Source organism: Homo sapiens, chromosome 7 (genome assembly GCF_000001405.40).
Source record: "Homo sapiens chromosome 7, GRCh38.p14 Primary Assembly".
Classification (NCBI taxonomy): domain Eukaryota; kingdom Metazoa; phylum Chordata; class Mammalia; order Primates; family Hominidae; genus Homo; species Homo sapiens.
In genome coordinates, this window is record NC_000007.14 from 108020763 (window position 1) to 108043467 (window position 22705).

Genomic DNA, 22705 nt, shown 5'->3' on the forward strand with positions numbered 1-22705 from the left:
CTGTGACTTTGGGCCCTAATCTCTAAGGAAGTGTGTTTTTACTCGATAATATAATGGTTGTTCCACTGAATTAGAATATGTACCAATACCCAGCTATTTCAAGCTGTAAAGGATAAACAGGCAAAAAAGGGGGGTGTATAATTTTGGCTGGTGTAATTGATCCTGACAAAGATAAATAGAGCTGCTGGTTCACAGTGGCAACAGATGGATGTGACTAGGACCAGAGGGACCATGGAAGGAGCAGTAGAGAAAGCAGATCTTAAATCCCAGTGAAAGCCTCCTGAGTGGTTACAAAGACAAAGTCTACATCCTCAATCTGTGTTTCTCAATATGCTATGTTTTGTGTGTATTTATATTTTTAATTATAAAATATATTTCATTTTTATCTCCCTTTCCTCCCTCAGTAGTCTATATTTGGTATTTGTTGGTGGTTAACTTTACAATTTTGATTATAAGTTGCAGTATTTCCAGAAGGAATTATTAGCTGAAGTGCGGAAGAAGTGGACCTCAGCTGGAGGCCAAGGTTTCAGAGCTGGATGCACTTGGTGAGTGATGAGACTGTGGGTTGGTTTCCCTTGAAGACAATGTGGGTGTGCTTTCATTTGGCTGAGTGCTATATTTTGTTTGGTAGAAGCACTTATTTTTACTTTAGAAGGGAAAATGGGGGACGGGCATGGTGGCTCACGCCTGTAATCACAGCACTTTGGGAGGCCGAGGCGGGTGGATCACCTGAGTTCGGGAGTTTGAGACCAGCCTGACCAACATGGAGAAACTCTGTCTCTACTAAAAATACAAAATTAGCCGGGCGTGGTGGCACATGTCTGTGATCTCAGCTACTCGGGAGGCTGAGGCAGGAGAATCGCATGAAGCCGGGAGGCTGAGGTTGCGGTGAGCCGAGATCACACCATTGCACTCCAGCCTGGGCAACAAGAGCAAAACTTTGTCTCAAAAAAAAAAGGAAAATGGGATGAAGAATGTATTATGATATTTGGAAGTCAAAGAGGTTAACTTTATTCATATTGATTACATTTAATAGAAATTTATAATTTTTTTGATACCTGGCATCAAAATCCTTCCTATCTTGGAGGATTCCAAAGATAAGTAGAGGAAAAACTCCCCTTCTACTACCAAAGTCAAAGGGAATAGATATTCTCTCTATTTAGTCAATATGGTACCGAGGGCACATGAAGAGGCCCGGCCAACTGGATTACTTCTTCCAGGGTTGCTGAGTACTGAGAGAGTGATACAAGACAGAGAGACAGCTGCAAGTCACTGGGATGGTGGTGAGTGTCCAAGGAGGACAGCATTGGCCTCCTAACCTGAGTGTACTGAGGTGTGGTCTTGGAAATATCGCCTGATGCATAGTTGTCCTTAGTTACATTTTCTCCAGCCATTTCTTTTTGTATGCTGTCAGATATCCTTTGAATAAATTCCTTTCCTGCTTAATAAGCTACTGCTGGTTTTCAGTGATTGCATCCAAGAACTCAGACTGGTAAAATCCTAACGTTTAATTGGTTTATTGTTAGTTACTTAGCTTCTTTGAATTTTTAATATAAGATGTGCTTCAATGAATTAGCCACAAAGCTTTTCCCTCCATCTTTAAGATTATTTTCTTAACATACAGGTTCCACAGTGGAATTACTGAATTTTATAATAGCTCATGATACACACTGTCAAATTGTTAATACTTTAAAATGTAAAGAGACACTGTTTCACTGAATCTTGCATTGGTCACATCTTGAACAACTGATACAGCAAGTAATAGAAGTTAGAATGATTTATCTGGCATTACTGAGGAATGAGATTTTTTACATATATAGATTTTTTTTTAGATAACTAAAGTCTCAAGGCTGGATATGTGAACCATTGTAATTATATACTTCAAGAGAGCTTTCTGGGGTGGTCCTTCCTGTAGAAAAGTTTCTTTCTATTCTTCAGGATCTCTAGGGAAATAGATTCTGCAATTTTCTGTAACAGCCTACATTTTAAGAATTTTCATATTTATGTATAATTCTAAAGCCCTTTTGTTGAATTTTTAAATCTTTTTTGTTTGTTTGTTTTGTTTTTTGAGACAGGGTCTTGCTCTGTCACCCAGGCTAGAGTGCAGTGGCTTGATCTCGGCTCACTGCAACCCCTTCCTCCTGGATTTAAGCTATTCTCCTACCTCAGCCTCTGAGTAGCTGGGATTACAAGCGTGCACCACCATGCCCAGCTGATTTTTTTGTATTTTTAGTAGAGACAAGGTTTCACCATGTTGGCCAGGCTGGTCTCGAACTCCTGACCTCAGATGATCCGCCTTCCTTGGCATCCCAAAGTGCTGGGATTATAGGCATGAGTCACCATGCCTGGCTTTAAATCTATTTTTTATGAGTCAGTCCTTAATGGAAATGCTCCAGCAGATCTTCCTTTTTCATTTATCAATGTTGATGTATATTATTTCTTATTCAAAAATGTGAAACCAAACTCACTTAAAATAAACTTTCTGAAGGATCGCTTTCACAAACAGAAGCAATTTGCTCTATTAGAAATCATACGTGCAAAAATAGTTAGTATGAAATCAGACTCATTTTGAAATGAGACAATCTTATCTTTTATACTAAACAATAAGAACATGATTGATAGTCTTTTAAAAATAAGCAACACATTTTAAAGCAAAAATGTCCACTGATAAATGAGGAGAAGTAGTTCAATATTTATCTTTTTGAATATTGTTCCAGTTCTACTTGGGGAAAACAGAATTCCCTGGCTGAGAATGACCATGTAGGAACGTAGGTATAAAAGCAAGTTGCATTTTGAATTGTATGCAGTTTATTCAGAAAAGAATAATTTTACAAATAAAAGCAAATCCAAATAAACATAAAATATAGGACAATCTAGTACATGCCATACATATGTATTCCATCCTAATATTGGAGATATTTATTTAATGTTTAGGTTTATCTGACTGAAATGATTATTAGTTAGTAGAGTACTTACTTAAATTTCTACTTGTTATATGGAAACTGTTATTTTTAAGTTAGGAAAGAGAAAGGAAGGTAAGAGGAAAAGTTTCTGAAACCAGAGACAATTTCATTACTTTCCCCTTTCAATTATGAAGTGGCATTTTCCTGGTGGCATTTCAACCTCCAGCCACACTGAGCAGGTGTCTAATAAGGACAGGGTGTGGGGAAGGAAGGTAGAAGACATTGTCAGTATTTCACAGGTTCAACAGAGCCCCAGGGGCTTGTACATCAGAAACCAGAAACAAAGGCACAAGCTTTTGCTCTTTAACTCTGCCTAGCTATAGCACCTAGCATATTTTTTTTCTTGTTCAACAATTTCATTTTTAATGGCAACAACTTGATCTTCCAATATTCTCAGTTGATCAGCTTTTGCTTGTCTACTTAGATTCAAATCTTGGATTTTCCTTTCTAAATCTGAAAGAAGAAAATGAAAGAAATGATATATTTCCATTTAATGGATTCCTGCTGGATACCTACATTATACCAAACACAGGGATTTATGCGCCTCTCAAAGATATATTTAGTTTTCTGTTTGGATTCAATGGATAAATCATCTATTTTCATCAGGCTTCTCAAGGTTTTCACATAAATTAGAGCAAACTGACAATTTTGTCTAAAAACTTTTATATCTAAAGGCATTTATCAATGTGAGGCTATAGTTGGTTAGAATTCATTAGAAATGAAAAGACAGATAACATCCTTGATGGGATTTGCTGAAGTGCTATATTTCCAAAGGTTTGTTCTTATTATTTTAGCTTCATTTTAAAACATGTTCTTTAGTGTTTTCCAATCTTTCAGAAAAAAAGACTGACTTTCATGTGTTGATTCCTCCCTGCTGATATTGAAGTCCCTGAACAGTAACAGCTAAGTGATGCCTTGGCTTCACTCCTATCCATCCATCAATCCATTGATCCGTCGACCCATCCATTGACCCATCCATCGATCCATTGATCCATCCATCCATCCATCCATCCATCCGTCCGTCCATCCGTCCATCCATCCATCTATCTATACATTCATTTATATAGTCTTCATTCAACAAATATCTGGAAATTCTAGTAAACCTTAACAAGGAGACTATATAAGTGGATACAAGAGGCATAGAGAGCTACAGTTAATAATGTGAGGCAGCATTTTGCAAAGAAACTCTGACATTAGAGTTTTTGCAAAACTTCTAAAAGAGGGAAGATAGCTTCTAGAAGAGGGAAGGTAAATGTCTCACTTCATTTGGTCAGATCACACCTGAATACCGAGTTGGTTTGGAGTAATTGTCAAACTAACATGTGTTTAGAAAAAAGAATCAGATTGCTGAAGATACTTGAAACTGTCCTGTAAACAAACATTGAATTAACTGGTGATGTTTCATATGAGGAAGGCAGATTCAGGGCATGTGCCGTGGCTGTTTTCAAGTATCTGAAGGGCCAACCTAGGAAAGCAGAGTAAATGTGTTCTCTGTCATCCTGAGGCAATAAAATGGAAACTAGCAGGTGAAGCTCCACGAAGGAAGATTTTGTCTAAATATAAAAAACTCTCTAGGAGTCATGGCTGCTCAAAGATGAAAGAGCTAATGTGGAAGGTGGTGAGTGTTCTGTCACTAGATTCTTTCTTTCTTTCTTTTCTTTTCTTTTCTTTCTTTCTTTCTTTCTTTCTTTCTTCTTTCTTTCTTTCTTTTTTTTTTTTTGAGACAGAGTTTTGCTCTTGTTGCCCAGGCTGGAGTGCAATGGCGTGATCTCAGCTCACTGCAACCTCCGCCTCCTGGGTTCAAGCGATTCTCCTGCCTCAGCCTCCTGAGTAGCTGGGATTACAGGCATAGGCCACCATGTCTGGCTAATTTTGTACTTTTAGTAGAGATGGGGTTTCTCCATGTTGGTCAGGCTGGTCTTGAACTCCCAACCTCAGGTGATCTGCCCGTCTCAGCCTCTCAAAGTGCTGGGATAACAGGCATGGGCCACCACACCTGGCTGAAACTTTCAAATGTAGGTTATTTGGGATTGAAAAGGGGATTCAACATTGAAACCATATTTGGACTAAAGGAATAATAAAGGCCTCTGTTTGTACCCGGAAAGTTAATATGATTGAGCTGGTTACACCAGACCCATTCGCCATCCTCGTCTGTGTTCTGGAAAGCTACCCTTCCTGGATAACAGCACTTGGCTCCCTTGACCTCTGGCTTTCATTCACACATGGCCAATGGACAGTGCTGATAAGTGGTCAGAGGATAGGAGGATGAGCAGTCTCCATCTCAGTTCAGCACGGAGGTGTATGCAGTTCTTCCATCCCTCAGGCTCCTGTGGGGTGGCCTCTTTCCTAACACTCTGGTGTTCACAGGGCTCTGGTAACGTTCCTGCTTCCCTGGCCCCTTCAGGTGTAGAGAGGCTAATGCCTTCTCACTGCTGCTAGTCACCAAGTACCTCCACAGCCTCAGTGGGTTCCCTTCATTCTTGTGCATTCTTTGTAGTTCTTCCCATCAAGAAGTAGAATCTACTTACCCTGTTCCTACCCCCACGCCCCCGAATCTGGACTGGCTTTATAAGTTGTTTTGACTAATAGAAAAGCGGAAGAACTGATGTTGCAAGACCTCAAGAACCTTTCATCCTCTCTTCTCACTCTTGTGGTGCCCTGAAACAACCAAGCTGTAAAGCAGCCCAGGGTAACAGACCACGTAGAGAGAGTGCCAGCATCTCAGCCACACCTGGCCCCTAACAGGCCATCAGCCTAACGCAGCTGCTTGAGAAACCCAGGTGAGACCTGTCGAAGAACCAGCCAGGCAACCCACAGAAAAGTAAGAAATGGTGGTTATTTTAAGCCATTACATTTTGGGGTAATTTATTATGCAGTGAATAAATGACTGAGACAACTCCACTTCTAAATACTTTATCCAAAATTATGCCCACGCATGCTTTCTGTTTCTTGCTGGGACCCCGACTGACACCAAGTTCTGTGGAAGGACCCTGGCTGAAGACTAGAGTCCATTCCCCACTCTCTCAACATTGTTGCTGCCAAGGGCTCCATACTGGGATCCAGGGGCTCCTCTTCCTAACAGAGAGGAACAGGCACAGCCTTGTGGTTCCGCCCCTTCTCAAGTGGCAGCATGGGGAAGACAGCCAAATCAATGTCTCATTTTTCTATCTTGCTGAGTTCTGAAAACAGCCTCAAAAGGAAAAGAGAAAAGGCAGTAGAATGCCTTATTTTAGACCTCCCTGAGAAGCCCTCTAACTTCAACTTCTCTTCCAATCTAATTTCAAGAACTATAAAAGCTGTGGTCAATGGGGATCAGTGGAAACAATGTGTGTATGACATAAACAATATGACATAAAAACAGGACAGAAATATTCTCCCCATGTTTTTACTCCTAGAGTAAGGGCCAAGTTCTAGGATAATAGAAACTGACTTTCATGGTATTGTCTGACAAGTGGTCAGAGGATGGGAGGGTGAGCAGTCTCCATCTCAGTTCAGCACGGAGGTGTTGAATGCAAGATTAAAAAAAAAATCTGTTTCTCTGAATCTTTCTTAGTATTTCATAGTTAAAATAACATTTTAACGAAAATACTTAAAAATGAAAAAAAATTACCCACAAGCCTGCTGCTTTTAAAGCAATTATATAAGTGCAAGAAGCAGTGGTTTCTTCTTCACTCCCACTGCCTCCCTAGAGATAACTAATGTTAGCAGTTTGGTATGTATTTTTCCTGACTTTGGCCCATACTAATGTTCCATTTTCAGTTTTTTCATGTCATAGTAATGATATAAGTGGTTGTAAGGCCAAAGACTCATTTGATAATAAAAAAGAGGCATCTATAAGTGAGGAGTTTTGGTTACTTTAATATTTTGAGAATTACTTACACTCCTAGTTTTAAAGTTTTAGAAGATAATAAATACAACCAAGGGTAAAACTATAAAATTACCATCTGATATTTCTTGATGGTTAGAGATAGTTAAGGACATGATTGCCCCCAAAAATCATAAATATCAATTGTGTAAAAAAAGATTCTGATTAGCTTTCTGATTGTATGTATTTTATGTTTTTTGTTTTGTTTTTGAGACAGAGTCTCTCTCTGTTGCCCAGGTTGGAGTGCAGTGGCGTGATCTTGGCTCACCGCAACCTCCGCCTCCTGGGTTCAAGCGATTCTCCTGCCTCAGCCTCCCGAGTAGCTGGGATTACAGGCATGTGCCACCACGCCTGGCTAATTTTTTTTATTTTTAGTAGAGATAGAGTTTTGCCATATTGGCCAGGCTGGTCTCAAACTCCTGGGGTCAAGCAGTCCATCTGCCTCAGCCTCCCAAAGTGTTGGGATTACAGGTGTGAGCCACCGCGCCTGGCCGGTATTCCATGTTTGCAACACTTTGTGTGCATCAGAATGTCCATTTAGATCAAAATCCTTGTCTAGAATATGATTCTTTCTGGGTTGCTATCCAAAGATATATGCTAGATGACCTAGTGCCCTAGATTATATTGATTCTTTTGGAGAGTTATTTTCATGAGAGGAAAAATAAACAACATAGGTTAGAACAGGGTTTCTTAATCTCAGCACTATTGACATTTTGGGCGGGACAATTGTTTGCTTAGGCAGTTGCCTTGTGCATTGTGGGATTTTTAGCAACATCCCTGCCCTCTACCCAGTACATGCTAGTAGTACCTTCTAGGATGACAAGCAGAAATGTCTTCAGACATCTCACCCCCCGTTGAGAACAGAGTTAGAAAAAAAGGGCATTTTTTTTTTTTTTTTTTTTTTGAGATGGAGTCTCACTCTGTCACCCAGGCTGGAGTGCAGTGGCATGATCTTGGCTCACTGCAACCTCTGCCTCCCAGGTTCAGGCAATTCTCCTGCCTCAGCCTCCCAAGTAGCTGGGATTACAGGCACCCACCACCACGCCTGGCTAATTTTTGTATTTTTAGTAGAAACGGGGTTTCTCCATGTTGGCCAGAGTGATCTCGAACTCCTGACCTCAGGTGATCCACCCGCCTTGGCCTCCCAAAATGCTGGGATTACAGGTGTGAGCCACTGTGCCCAGCCAAAAAAGGGCATTTCAAGGTGACCAAAGGAAATCTCAGTTTGTTTTGACTAATGCAAGGCAGATGCTCATTAACCTTTCTAGGCAAATCCATGCAAGAGGCTTGTTAACTTCACAGTCCCCAAAACACAAGACCAATTTCTACTTCTCTCTCCTCAGTGGACCCAAGTGATAAAACTGTAAGCTGACATTGGTATAAATTCTACTAGTAAGGTAGAGTACCATGATGTTATTATCAAATTGGCAGGATGGATAAAAGAACAGATACCTGTTATTCTTCTTATCTTGGCCTCTGTATCTCCAGCCAATTTTTCTGCCGCATCTTTTAGCTGTTTAACTTTTCCTAATGTCTCCTTTGTTAGTCCTGTAGTGCTTGTCTTACGTTGGAGAATAGCATATTGTTTTTTCAGCTCAACAAATTCCTGTAACAAGCAACACTTGCATCATGAGAAAATATGTATAAAGCATGTACATATATGCATGATGATTCTCCTAATTCCATTCATAGAAGGAATACAGAGGAAACCTTAATCCAGTCAATACACTTGAGTTGCTCTGATATTTCCGGCAGAGTTTTATTTGCATGTTTGTTTTTTCAGATTGAAAAAAATGTCAACTTCTATTAAAAATAAAACTTCTTTGTTCAAAATAGCAATTGTTATTGCATGTTAAGGCAACTATGTCTGAGGCACCAATTGGTTGTTCTGCTCTATGTTAAGGTAGGATATGGAAGACAGAAATGACCCAATCCCATCCTTGACAAATCTCTGGTTCAGTTCGGTCAATCAGTTATATATGTAAAATGAAGGACGGAGTGAGTGATGAAGATTTAGAAACATCAAGGATATGTTATTTGGTTGGCAAAAAGGTGAGAGAGAAATGAGGTAGGAAGGGAGGCAGGTGGGGAAGTAGAAGTGTGGTATGGAGATCCCCCTTGAATAGAATGGAAATCTGTGGGTTACCTTGTGTGTTGACAACCTAGAAGGTTAAGTAGATGAATAAAGGCCAAAGCCAGAAATGAAATATGGAAGTGGGAACGGGGCGAGTAGAAAGTACCTTTCTTGGCCAGGCGTGGTGGCTCACGCCTGTAATCCCAGCACTTTAGGAGGCCGAGGCAGGCGGATCATGAGGTTAGGAGATTGAGACCATCCTGGCTAACATGGTGAAACCCTGTCTCTACTAAAAATACAAAAATTAGCTGGGCGTGGTGGCACGTGGCTGTAATCCCAGCTACTCAGGAGGCAAAGGCAGCAGAATTGCTTGAACCAGGGGGTCAGAAGTTGCAATGAGCTGAGACTGAGCCACTGCATTCCAGTCTGGTGACAGAGAGAGACTCTGTCTCACAAAAAAAAAAAAAAAGAACTTTTCTCAATCTCTGTTCCACAGAAAATGTTCTCAGTTCCTGTCAGTGGAAAATTTACCCAGCACATTAGGAATTAAAAGCAGGAGAATAGACCAAATGTAAATACACTAACATTTTTCTTTTGTTTAGGCAACTATATTAATGCAACCAACCAAAGGTTTCTTGCTAGGAAAATGAGCTGATAGGTTCTTTCAGCAACCTAAATTAATGGCCCACTTTCCACAACTGTTTAATTAACTCATTCTGATTTTTGTAACTTGATGTATTTTCTTTGGCAGGTGACTTTCATTTATTGTTTTCTTTATATGTTGTGTGACTGAATGAGAATAGAGGGCAAAAACATACAATACAGACAAACAACATAAATTGTGAAAAGTTTGGAAGTTCGGGGCAAATTTGATTTATGGACTGATTGACCAGGATACTACTAAGAATAATAGGATAGAGAGATGGGGGAGGAAACACTCCAACATGATTTGGCCAGGGACTTCTGCCTTCTACAGATAGAAAATCCTTTGTGCATCAGGATCCCCTCAAAGATATACCATTGAGTCATGGACCAGCACAAAGGAAATGATGAGAAATGGCACAAAAATCTGGGGTTAAAGAACTATCTTTCAAAGAAGCCCTGCTTTTCTGCTCTTGGTGGCAGTGGTAGAACTAATGACCTTCTCAAGACTCCCAGCCTGGTGTTGGGCAGATTCAGCCTGAACTTTCGCATTGACAGCGTGGTCTTGATGCCTTTGCAACTTGGTCTGCAGCAGGGAAAGTCCATCCTCCAGCCCTGATCGCTGCTTTGCTAACTCCAGCTCACTCTTCATTTCCCTGGTTTGATTTTCAGCCTGTTGTTGATTTAAAGACCAAAAAGGGAAAATCTCTTTATGAAACAAACAAGAAGATAAACGATATATTAACCCCTTGAAAAATATGCTGGGTGTAAAGGAAAAGAAAATAGTGCCTCCACTTTTTCTGTTGCATTTATTTAAAATATTATAATAAAATATTTCAGACATACAAAAGGGTCTGAAAAATATAACGTTAGCCTAGCGTGGGGTGCATGCCTGTAGTCCCAGTACTCGGGAGGCTGAGGCAGGAGGATTGCTTGAGCCCAGGAGGTTGAGGATGCAGTAAGCTGTGATTGTGCCACTGCACTCCGGCCTGGGTGACAAAGAGATAACTTGTCTCAACAATAACAAAAAAAAAAAAAAAAGAAAAAAAAGAAAAAGGAAAAGAAAAAAAAAAAAAAGAGCGAAGAGAAAAAAAGAAAAAATATAACGAATAGCCATGTATCCACCAGCCAGTTTAAGAATAAAACATTAACAATGAGCTAAGGCCCTCAGCGTACCACTCCCCATTATATCTTCTCTCTCTCCCCTCAAAGACAACCACTATCTTGAATCTAACTTCTGTCATTCCATGTATCTCTATAGCATTTTTTCTACAACCTATGCAGTATTCCTAACAATATATAGTATTAAAATTTTTTTTCACCTTATACAAATATATTGTATATTTCTGCAAGTTGATTTTCTAAAATGAAAAGTTATGAAAATTATGCTTATGTAGGTCATTTAAGCTAATTTACATAGCTCTAGTTCATTAATTTTTACCAGTTTAAAGCATTCCATTGTTTGAACATACAACAATGTATTTTCTATTCTCCGGCTGGTGCAAGTGGCTTCTAATTTTTTCCCCTTACAAACAGTAATAACACTTTATGCTTGTTTCTTATTTCAGTGACCATATTGATCATATCTAGAAGTCCTATTTAAATATTTTTCAAATATAGCTGGTTGTTAGACATTGTCTCTTGTTTGTTGGTCATACTTTCATACATTCTTAGATTTTCTTAAACATAGTAAACAATCTTATTTTGTATTTTGTATCCAATAATGGTAATATCCTCTGTCTGTTGTGTCCTGATTTTGTTGTTCATTATTTCTGATGACTCTTGTTTAAAGGCAATTTGTGGCTGGGCACGGTGGTTTACGCCTGTAATCCCAGGACTTTGGGAGGCCAAGGTGGGTAGATCACCTGAGGTCAGGAGTTCAAGACCAGTCTGGCCAACATGGCGAAACCTCGTCTCTTCTAAAATTACAAAAATTAGCTGGGCTTGGTGGTACGCACCTGTAATCCCAGCTACTCGGGAGGCTGAGGCAGGAGACTTGATTGAACCCAGGAGGTGGAGGTTGCAGTGAGCCGAGATTGTGCCATTGCACTCCAGCCTGGGTGATAGAGCGAGACTCCATCCCAAAAAAATAAAAAAAAAAAATCTTTAAAAAGGCAATTTGTTTCTTTACACGTCTGGGGGAAATTCTTGATGGCTAGGTTTTAAGGTTGTTCCTTTGGAGAGGATTTTTGTTTGCCTCTGCCAGGCATCTGGGAGCCCTACCAACCCAGGGCTACTTCAAATGATACCAGGGTTTTGAGGGCCACCCAGGTAGTATAAATTCTAGCCCCAAAATTGTGTTAGAGCCACAATCGCGGTTAGCAAATCTTAGTGGAGATGTTACTCCCCAACCCAGGGGCAAGTTTTTCTACTGACTCTGTGTGTTTGCGTGTGTGTGTGTGTGTGTGTGTGTGTGTGTGTGACAGAGAGATTTTAACATTTCATTAAGGATTTTGCCATTTGGGGTCCCAGTTCTATGCAAGAATCTTGTTGCCTCCTGTGTGGCCTTTGCTTTCTGTCTTATATGCATGGTGACCATTAAAACCCAAAGCTTGAATGCTCCAGGGATGGGCAGATGCCTGCTGCCTGCTGTCAAGTTAGTGCTTGATTACCTCTAAATTCATGCTTTCCTGTCATTTTTGGCCTCTGAGACTATCAAAAGTTTCTTACTAATTCAGCTATGCATTAAAAAATCTAAATATCCAATCTAATATTTTTATGTGTTTTTTTCAACTACCAGGGTTCCTTAAGAGATTGGTTCACCATATTTTTAGAAATGGAAGTCCCTTCCTGTACCCTTGGGCATATGTGGGAGTTTGCCTAGAGCAGCAACCTGCAAACTTTTTCTGTAAAGGGCCAGCTAGTAAATACTTTATACTTTGTGGCCTATAAAGTCTCTATCCCAAATATTTAACTCTCTGTCATTGTAGTGCAAAAGCATCCATAGACAATACAGCCTGTGGTCATGTTTTGCCATCCCTTGTTCTAAGTATATGCCTAGAAGGGGAAATCCTGGGGCCTTCCTTTTTACTACCCCATATATGCAACCTCTTCCTATCCAACCCCTTTATTTCCTCGTGTATTACTTCTTGTTCTGTTGCTTTCTGCTTTGTTTGTTTGTTTTGAGACAGTCTCGCTCTGTTGCCTAGACTGGAGTGCAGTGGCACAATCTCGGCTCACTGCAACCTCCGCCCCCTGGAGGAGCGATTCTGTTGCCTCAGCCTTCCAAGTAGCTGGGATTATAGGTGCCTGCCACCATGCCTGGCTAATTTTTGTATTTTTCATAGAGACGGGGTTTCACCATGTTGGCCCAGCTGGTCTCGAACTCCTCACCTCGGGTGATACACCCACCTTGACCTCCCAAAGTGCTGGGATTACAGGTGTGAGCAACCATGCCTGGCCAGATGGAGCATTTCTTTTGGATGAGTATTTTTTTTTTTTTTTTTTTTTTTTAGTTTTAGGATACTCTGATGAGATTTCATGCACATTTAATTATAAGAATGTTACAATAGTTAACTCATTTCTTTGGTTTTTGTGAGCTTTTAAAAAGTCTATTCCTTTCCCTGGTATCAGAAGGGAGATGCTCTGGCCTCATATCTACCACTAATTAGCTGTGTGACCTTAGGCAGTCACCTAACTTTCCTGAGTCATAGTTTCCTCATTTCCAAGCTGGTGTTAGTACCTGCCTTGGTGCAACCCCAGAATTGGTCGCAATTAATATGACGGTGAGACGTGCTCTGTAGAACATTAAATACATGCATAATACTACCCAAATCTTATTTATCCTCATAATAATCCCATCAGACTCGTAAAGCAAGCATAGCATTGGCATACATAAAAAGCACTGTGTTGTTTTTACCCTCAAAACCTATTTCAGGTTAGTTTCAAAGAAGACAAATACCTGCAGCACATTCTTTTTTATTTTTGTTATATTGGCAGTCAGCTGTGTAATGGTAGAGTTTGCCCGTCCTTGAGTGATTTGAGCTTGTTGTAACTGGTTCAATGTTTTGTCAAGATTTAATAGAATATTTGCTGCTTTCCTAAGGTAAGATATTAACATATCAGATTAGATAAATACACAATTATTCACTTATTTCACCTTGAGAGAGTTCATTTGACTCAACCAAATACTTTACTGAATTATTAAGTAAATTTAAATTACTCTTAAACAAGAGAAAGTGCTGAAGTCTTCATTTTGAGAAATAGGTATATTTAAATGCCAATAAAAAAAACCCCACACACGTATATATTCATAGCCAGTGGATATATATTTTGTTAAATATGGAAATTAAGGATACAGGTTTGGGGTGATATAACTATCAATCTTTGCACATAAAAACTATCCCGTGAATTCCAGTTTCCCTGATGTCTCAAATGTAAGCTACACTTTCTCAATCTCTATTGGAGTGGGGGTTGGGAGGGTCCAGAGGCCCCACAGAGAGCAAAGAGAGGACTACAGGCCCTGCATTTTTAGGCTTGTTTATTCAGAGTTAGCTAAGCTTCACTGACATTCCAGCCACTAAGAAGCCCAAGGTTAAAATCACAAGCATTCCAAGTGATAACAGTCTTTCTGCAGAAAGGAACTCACCTCAAGTCAACAATCACCAAATACTTAGATCTGTGGGCTCAAGACCACCTTGAGAAGAATGTACCGAGGGAGTGAACTATCAGACAGACCTTTGCAGAAGCATCATTAGAAATGAGTGTGCCCACAGTAGAGTTAGCTAAATTGCAAAATATTCCCTTTACCACCCAGCCTATCCTTTCCTCCAATGGTAATCTCTGTTTCCCTTTCTAACCTTCAGGAGCCTTCCCTCCTCATCATCCCACCGCCACCACCATTTCATTTCTGTAACATTCCCAGGGTACCAGTGTCCATTTTTTCTATTCCCTGCCACCATTATCTTTTTCTTATATTATTTTTTCCTTTAGATTTTTAATTTACGACTGCAGGCCAGGCGTGGTGGCTCATGCCTGTAATCTCAGGACTTTGGGAGGCTGAGGCAGGTGGATCACTTGAGGTCAGGAGTTCGAGACCAGCCTGGCCAATATAGTGAAACCCCATCTCTACTAAAAATGCAAAAAATTAGTTGGGTGTAGTGGTGCATGCCTATAATCCCAGCTACTTGGGAGGCTGAGGCATGAGAATCACTTGAATCTGGGAGGCGGAGGTTGCAGTGAGCTGAGATCGTGCCACTGCACTCCAGCCTGGATGACAGAATGAGACCCTGTCTCAAAAGAAAAAAAAAAAAAAAGATTTTCAATGTACTGCTTATTATAGCAAATTTAGAGAGTACCAAAAAAAAAAAAAAAAAAGAAAAAAAAACGTAAGAAGGGGAAAAAATACCAGTAATCTTGCCATCTTTTAAAATGTTAGGATATTGTAGCAAAATTTTTTATTTTCATAATTAAGATCCTCTTTCATGTATAGATTGTTACCTGCTTTTTATTTTCAACTTCCTGTTCAGTTTGGATGTTACCTGCTTTTTAAAAAGCATTACCATTGCAATATAAGAATCTCTGCCTGTTATTAAACATCTTTTATCAACTTTTTTTTTTTTTTTTAGATGGTGTCTCGCTCTTGTTGCCCAGGCTAGAGTTCAGTGGTGCAGTCTCAGCTCACTGCAGCCTCTGCCTCCCAGGTTCAAGTTCAATCAGTTCTCTGTCTCAGCCTCCCGAGTAGCTGGGATTACAGGTGCATGCCACCACACCGGCTAATTTTTGTATTTTTAGTAGAGACGGGTTTTCACCATGTTGGCCAGGCTGGTCTCTAACTCCTAGCCTCAAGTGATCCACCTGCCTCGGCCTCCCAAAGCACTGGGATTATAGTCGTGAGCCGCTTCCCCCAGCCCATCAGTATCACTTTTAATTGCTGTGTGATTACTTGATTTTTTTTTTTTGAGACGGAGTTTCGATTTTGTTGCCCAGGCTGGAGTGCAACGGCGCAATCTTGGCTCACTGCAACCTCCACCTCCTCAGTTCAAGTGATTCTCCTCCTCAGCCTCCCAAGTAGCTAGGATTACAGGCATGCACCACTACACCCGGCAAATTTTGTATTTTTAGGAAAGACAGCGTTTCTCCCTGTTGGTCAGGCTGGTCTCGAATTCCTGACCGCAGGTGATCTGCCCGCCTCAGCCTCCTAAAGTGCTGGGATTACAGGCGTGAGCCACCGTGCCCGGCCTACTTAATCTTTTAAGTAATTGCTGTGCAGTTAATCTTCCTCGTTTTAAATATTAAACCTAGAAGGGGTTGGACTTTTGGATGAATCTGGTGCACTTCGTTTATACACGTGGATGATGAGACAGTGACAATGGCTCAGATCTCAGTGATGGTGGGTGTTGATGATACTACCACCTAACTGATCCTGTAACCCTGACCCACAGCACCCCATGCTCATAAAAACATCAACCTGGCTTTTCTTTTTTGGTTGGCTAAGTCAACAGGACAAAAGGCAAGAGTTAGTTAACTCTGTATACCATAGATATCATTTTCATCTTGCAGTACTCCTGGAGCTCTAGTGTCCGTTCTGTTCCTCATCATTATATTGGGTTGGTGCAAAAGGAATTGCGGTTTTTGCCATTATTTTCAATGGCAAAAACCGCAATTCCTTTTGCACCATCCTAATATCTTTTTACTGAGAATATACTGAGGAAGTGAAATATCAGACAGACTTTAAAAAATAATTTTGATTTCAAAGTACTGCTTAGTGTAGTAAACTTAGAAAATACCAAACATAGATAAATAAGGGAAAAACTATACCAATATTCCAACCACCTGTTAAAGTATTGGCATATAATGAGTATTGCACATTTATTGGTATGCATTGGTATAAAAAGGTATCAGGCCACTGGAAAGGCATTTTGAGTCTAAGAAAACAGGAAGAAAACAACCCTGAACCCTGTCACCGAGTCACTCAGCTTCCCGGGGAATCTCCAAAGAGAGCTCAGCCCTCAACTTGGGCACTGAACTATCAGAAGGTAATTTCATTTGAATGCTATAGATCCCTAGGCAAACATTTTCCTGATGTCCTTTCAGCAGATGGTCTGTTAGAGCAAGATAAGAATATTAATACAGTACTTACTCAGCTGCTTTGGCCTTCACCAAAAGCTTTTGGGCTCCATCTGCTTCTTCATTTAACCTGTTTTCATCTGTCCTGTAATCCTCACAGAGTTGCATATGTTTCTGTATTTTGACAAGTTCATCGGTTAGATTTTGGGATGGAATTGGTAGGTGAATGTCAAGCACACCATTCGCAACCTTCTCGATGTCTTCTGGAGGCACGTTTTCCTCTTAAATAAGAAGCAGGGTTTTAGGTAATCATGTCTCCTTAACAAACACTGTATCTTAAAAGTATAACCACAATGATGTCTCAGCCAAATGCACTTGCACTTGATTATGTGCCCCTAGAATACAGGGATTAGATTGTAGCTTCCTATAGATTCTTCTTCATCCTCAGCTGTCCCTTCTCTCTGGAAGAAACAGTGCTCACTGAGTGCTGAATACTTGCTGAACAAGTGCTTGTTGGAAAAACAAAATACTAAAGACTTGGAACATTGTGTGTATTCTACAAAATGTCCTGAGAATGATTTATTATAAGTACATACTCAAAAGCAATTAACATGTTTAGATACCTGTCATGAAGATTTAAGCACAATGAATGAGACACTGGAGAAGCTCTGCGTTTGAAGTCAACAAAACTGGATTCTGGTCCTCCATGACATTAAAAAGTCTCACAATTTTTGCTCATCTATGTAATTGGGTAACTATACCTGATGCTACAACTCAGAGGCCTATTCTGGGATTGGAGTGAGACAATACAGAGTAAAGGAACATGTTAGTAGCATGTTATAAAGAAACTTTTTTTTTTTTGAGACAGAGTCTCACTCTGTCACCAGGCTGGAGTGCAGTGGTGGCACAATCTCGGCTTACTGCAACCTCTGACTTCCTGGTTCAAGCGATTCTCCTGCCTCAGCCTCCTGAGTAGCTGGGATTACAGGTATGCACCACCATGCCCAGCTAATTTTTTTTGTATTTTTAGTAGAGATGGGGTTTCACCATGTTGGCCAGGATGGTCTCGATCTCCTGACCTCCTGATCCACCCACCTTGCCCTCCCAAAGTGCGGGGATACAGGCATGAGCCACTGTGCCCCCCAAAGAAACTTTCAAATACATCCATGCTCTACTTTCCAGAAAAGTAAATTTGGCCCCTATTGAGAACTAAAGTGTAAGATGAACTGTTAGAGCAAGCTTGTTCGACCCACAGCCCAGGGGCCACATGTGGCCCAGGACGGCTTTGAATGTGGCCCAACACAAATTTGTAACCTTTCTTAAAACATTGTGAGATTTTTTGTGTGTGATTTTATTTTTATTTTTAGCTCATCAGCCATCGTTAGTGTTAGTGTATTTTATGTGTGGCTCAAGACAATTCTTCTTCCAGTGTGGCCCAGGGAAGCCAAAAGATTGGATACTCCTGTGTTACAGCAAAGCCATTTGTCACTCTCCAGCTACTTAGTGAACACCTACAATTCCCATAGGGAAGCTAGAGATGAACTAGACAAGGATCTTATCCTCAGGGGGCTTGCCGTCAGGTGAGGACCTATAAGTCATTATATACAAATATTGATCACACAGGAACAGAAGTGATCAATATAAGGCAAATGCTATGGGGTTCAGAGGAAGGAGAAAATACTCCAGGAAGGACTTCAGATGCATTGAAACTAGACCTGGGAGGACAGCAGGTTAAACTTGTGGAGACTGTGGGGTGTGGGGAGGGGTAAGAGATATTCTAAACTGAGAGAATTACAGGAGCTAAAGCTCAGGGTGGTACAAGAAACAGTGCATGGATCACTCTTGGCAGGAGAGTAGTGTGCTTAGAAGGGCTGGGAGCAGATGGCACAAGTCCCTGTGTCAGAGGCTAAGGAACTTACACTGTTCAGAGAACAGTGGGAGCCAAAAATGATTTTCAGCATTTGAGTGACATGACATGAATATATATTCTGCTTGTAGTCATTTTGCTTTAGCTATTTTTCTTAATATAAATGAAATATTTTACTTTCTGTAATATTTTTGAAGCAATGTGACAAGAATTTTTTTGTGAGGGAAGTAAAATGACATTTTAAATAGAATCAGGGAGTTGGCTCTTTAAAGAAACAGTACTTTCTTTCTTTTTTTTTTTTTTTTGAGATGGTGTCTCGCTGTATCGCTCAGGCTGGAGTGCAGTGGTGCGATCTCGGCTCACTGCAACCTCTGCCTCCTGGGTTCAAGTGATTCCCCTGTCTCAGCCTCCCAAATAGCTGGGATCATAGGCACGCACCACCACATCCAGCTGATTTTTGTATTTTTAGTGGAGACAGGGTTTTGCCACGTTGGCCAGGCTGGTCTCACACTCCTGAACTCATGTGATCCGCCTGCCTCGGCCTCCCAAAGTGCTGGGATTACAGGCGTGAGCCTCCATGCCCGGCCAGAAACAGTAGCTTTTTAATTAAAAAAGTTCTAGTACATCATACTGAATGGGCAAAAGCTGAAGCATTCTCCTTGAAAACCAGCACAAGACAAGGATGCCCTCTCTTACCACTCCTGTTCAACATAGTATTGGAAGTCCTGGCCAGAGCAATCAGGCAAAAGAAAGAACAAAGCGTATCCAAATAGGAAGAGAGGAAGTCAAACTATCCCTGTTTGCAGATGGCATGATCTTATATCTAGAAAACCCCGTAGCCTTGGCCCAAAAGCTCCTTAAGCTGATGACTTCAGTAAGGTCTCAGGATACAAAATCAATGTACAAAAATCACTAGCATTCCTATACATCAGCAACAGTCAAGCCAAGAGCCAAGCCAGGAAGGCAATCTCATTCACAATTGCCACAAAAAGAATAAAATACCTAAGAATACAGCTAACCAGGGAGGTGAAAGATCTCTACAGGGAGAACTACAAAACACTGCGCAAAGAATCCAGAGGTGACTCAAACAAATGGAAAAAGATTCCATGCTCATAGATAGGAAGAATCAATATCATTAAAATGGCTATACTGCCCAAAACAATGTGCAGATTCAAGGTTATTCTTATCAAACTACCAATGACATTCTTCACAGAACTAGAAAATATATTTTAAAGTTCATATGGAACAAAAAAACAGCCCGACTAGCCAAGGCAATCCTAAGCAAAATGAACACAGCTAGAGACATCGTGCTATCTGACTTCAAGCTGTAATACAGGGCTACAGTAACCAAAACAGCATGGTGCTAGTACAAAAAACAGACACATAGATGAATGGAACTGAAAAGAGAGTCCAGAAATAAGGCCACACATCTAGAACTATCTGATCTTTGACAAAGTCAACAAAACCAAGAAATGGGGAAAAGACTCCCTCTTCAATAAATGGTGTGGGATAACTGGCTAGCCATATGCAGAACGCTGAAACTGGACCCCCTCCTTACATCTTATATGAAAATTAACTCAAGATGGATTAAAGACTAAAATGTAAAACCCAAAAGTATAAAAACCTTGGAAGGCAACCTAGACAATATTATTCAGGACACAGGCATGGGCAAAGATTTCATGATAAAGACACCACAAGCGACTACAACAAAAGCAAAAACTGAGAAATGGAATCTAATTAAAGAGCTTCTGCTCAGCAAAAGAAACTATCAACAGAGTAAACACAACCTACAGAATGGGAGAAAATTTTTGCAAACTATGCATCTGACAAAGGTCTAATATCCAGCATCTATAAGGAACTTAAATCTACAAGAAAAAAACAACCCCCTTAAAAAGTGGGCAAAGGACATAAACAGATACTTTTCAAAAGAAGACATCCATGGGGCCAACAAGCATATGAAAAAAAGCTCAACATCACTGATCATTAGAGAAATGCAAATCAAAACCACAATGAGGTACCATCTCACACCAGTCTGAATGGTGATTATTAAAAAGTCAAAAAATAACAGGTGCTGATGAGATTGCAGAGAGAAAGAAACACTTATACAGTGTTGGTGGGGGTGTAAATTAATTCAACCATTGTGGAAAACAGTGTGGTGATTCCTCAAAGACCTAAAAAAAGATTACAATTTGACCTAGCAATCTCATTACTGGGTATATACCCAAAGGGTTAGACATCATTCTATCATAAAGACACACTCACATGCATGTTCATTGCAGCATTATTCACAGGAGCAAAGACATGGAATCAACCTATATGCCCATCAATGATAGACTGGATAAAGAAAATGTTGTACATATACGCCATGGATACTATGCAGACATAAAAAAGAATGAGATCTTATCCTTTGCCAGAACATGGATAGAGCTGGAGGCCATTATCCTTAGCAAACTAACACAGGAGCAGAAAACCAAATACCGCATGTTCTCACTTATAAATGGGAGCTAAATGATGAGAACACATGGACACATAGAGGGGAACAACACACACTGGGGCCTTTTGGAAGGTGGAGGGTGGGAGGAAGGAGAAGATCAGGAGAAATAACTAATGAGTACTAAGCTTAATACTTGGGTGATGAAATAATCTGTACAACAAACCCCTGTGACTCGAGTTTACAAACCTGCACATGTACCTCTGAACTTAAAAGTTAAAAAAAAAGTTCGAATGAAAAGTGAAGTTCCTTCAATCACTTATTCATTCATCAAATAGTTATTTGTATTTATTATGAGATTATAGATTCAAATTTTTATATATAGAACTTTCAGGAGAAGTGATACATCCCTTTGTTAATAAGGCATTCAGATTTCAAGAAAAATATTAGGGTGGTCAAACAAGAGCTGAATAGTGTGGTCATCATCTAATGTAATGATAATTTTATTGGGGCTTTATAGCCAGGCAAAGAGAAGCAAGAGGTCGGTGGAGGGCATTGCAAGGCATGAAAGCTTCCTGGTCACCAGGGCTCTAGGGACACTGAGCAGTAAGAAGTTTCTTGTAAGAAACAGGATTTTTCTCTATGCCTAGTTGTAATGATAGTTCTTTATGCCTTTAGTTTTAATAATCTGGACATAGATTTCTTTCAATTCCTCAAGTTAATTAAAGTAAAATATTTATTAGAAACGTATTCAGTAGCAATGAAGAGTAATAAGAGGACAGGCTCTATGACCCAGCAAACTAGATAGAAAGGAGGTCATGTAGACCCTATTCTACCAGTTCATGCAATTAGTTTAGCAACTTTGATTTTGATGTTTGTTTTGGTGCCTTCTTAGTTCAGCCTATTCCTAGACCTGGGTCCAGTCAATACAGATTCATCCAGCTTACTCATTGAAAGTTTGCTTTTGAATCAACAACATGTCCAGTAGACTGATTCTACCCCATTCGTTTTTACTGACTATTTTTGTCAAAGGTAATTTCCACCTGATTTTTGTTTATCTTGAAAACAACAGCTAGAAACTGCCAATTCAATTTCTAGAAATATTGAGACAGGAAAAACAAACAACAACAACAAAAAAACAAACCCAAAAAACCTTGGCCACAGGGGTCTCTCACACATATTAAGTAGAATAATGAAGTGATTGAAGAGATTGTAATGGATGCTCCAATTGCCAATTCATGTATAAAATGTTAAATTATTGAATTTGAAAAATGGTTATGGAAAATAAAGCCTCTTCACATTAATCATCTCTCTCTCTCAATCTCTGTGTGTGTGTGTGTGTGTGTGTGTGTGTGTGTGTGTGTGTATGTGTACAGAGAGTAAGGTTTCAGGTCAATTTCCAGCTTCAGTACTTGATTTTTTTAATCTTTACTAATTCTCTGGAGTTTAAAATGAGCCTCTCCCAAAGTAAGGCATAATGTACAATAAATCAGCTACTTTTGGTCAGCCACAGAGAACCAACAAAAGAAGACTTGGAAAATAGTCAATAATAGCTAATAATTTTTTTTAGATGCCAACTCCCTATGATATTTGATATCTAATTAAAATTCAGCATATCTTGATCTCATATCATTTCTGTCAGCAAAGAAAATTACTGAATCCTGATGTTAGGGAATCTGATAGAATTGTCATGTTGAACTTTCCTTAAAAAAAACATAAAATAACTTTAAACACAAAGTTCATGTGTTTGGAATTTTAACTAAATTCTAGCATTTGTTACCACATTTATCTTTTACAGAAAGCTGTAATTTTTTGGCACAGAGTTGGTATTTTGAGATTATTCTCATTAAGGAAT

The 22705-nt window shown here is 39.9% G+C and overlaps 1 protein-coding gene and 1 long non-coding RNA gene across 11 annotated transcripts in view, besides 1 other annotated feature; one reads left to right on the forward strand and one right to left on the reverse strand.

Moving 5' to 3' along the window:
* Positions 1-22705, reverse strand: part of LAMB4 (laminin subunit beta 4) — a 118700-nt gene that overhangs the window by 9101 nt on the left and 86894 nt on the right. For 4 of the 10 annotated variants that reach the window (XR_927421.2, XR_927422.2, XM_011515975.2 and 1 more), the window contains exons 30-33: positions 16626-16833; positions 13446-13584; positions 10044-10217; positions 8281-8434 (exon numbers count right to left, since the gene is read on the reverse strand). Coding sequence is in view for 8 of the 10 variants with exons in the window: in XM_011515975.2 (XP_011514277.1) it covers positions 8281-8434; positions 10044-10217; positions 13446-13584; positions 16626-16833 (675 nt within the window). In the remaining 2 variants the exon portion in view is untranslated. Of the gene's footprint in view, positions 1-2790; positions 3417-5807; positions 6154-8280; positions 8435-10043; positions 10218-13445; positions 13585-16625; positions 16834-22705 lie in introns of those variants that run through there. The other 6 variants (NM_001318046.2, NM_007356.3, XM_011515978.2 and 3 more) reach the window with 5 other exon arrangements.
* On the forward strand, positions 178-1671 carry LOC107986834 (uncharacterized). The gene is made up of 3 exons (XR_001745319.1): positions 178-342; positions 457-545; positions 1221-1671. It is a non-coding gene; the product is annotated as an uncharacterized LOC107986834 (long non-coding RNA).
* Positions 13752-14266: an enhancer, noted in NCBI's record as "NANOG hESC enhancer chr7:107674959-107675473 (GRCh37/hg19 assembly coordinates)". NCBI's record gives its function as "activates a minimal SCP1, AML or CMV promoter by ChIP-STARR-seq in naive H9 embryonic stem cells {active_cell/tissue: H9 hESC(naive)}" and the evidence as "EXISTENCE:reporter gene assay evidence [ECO:0000049][PMID:30033119]".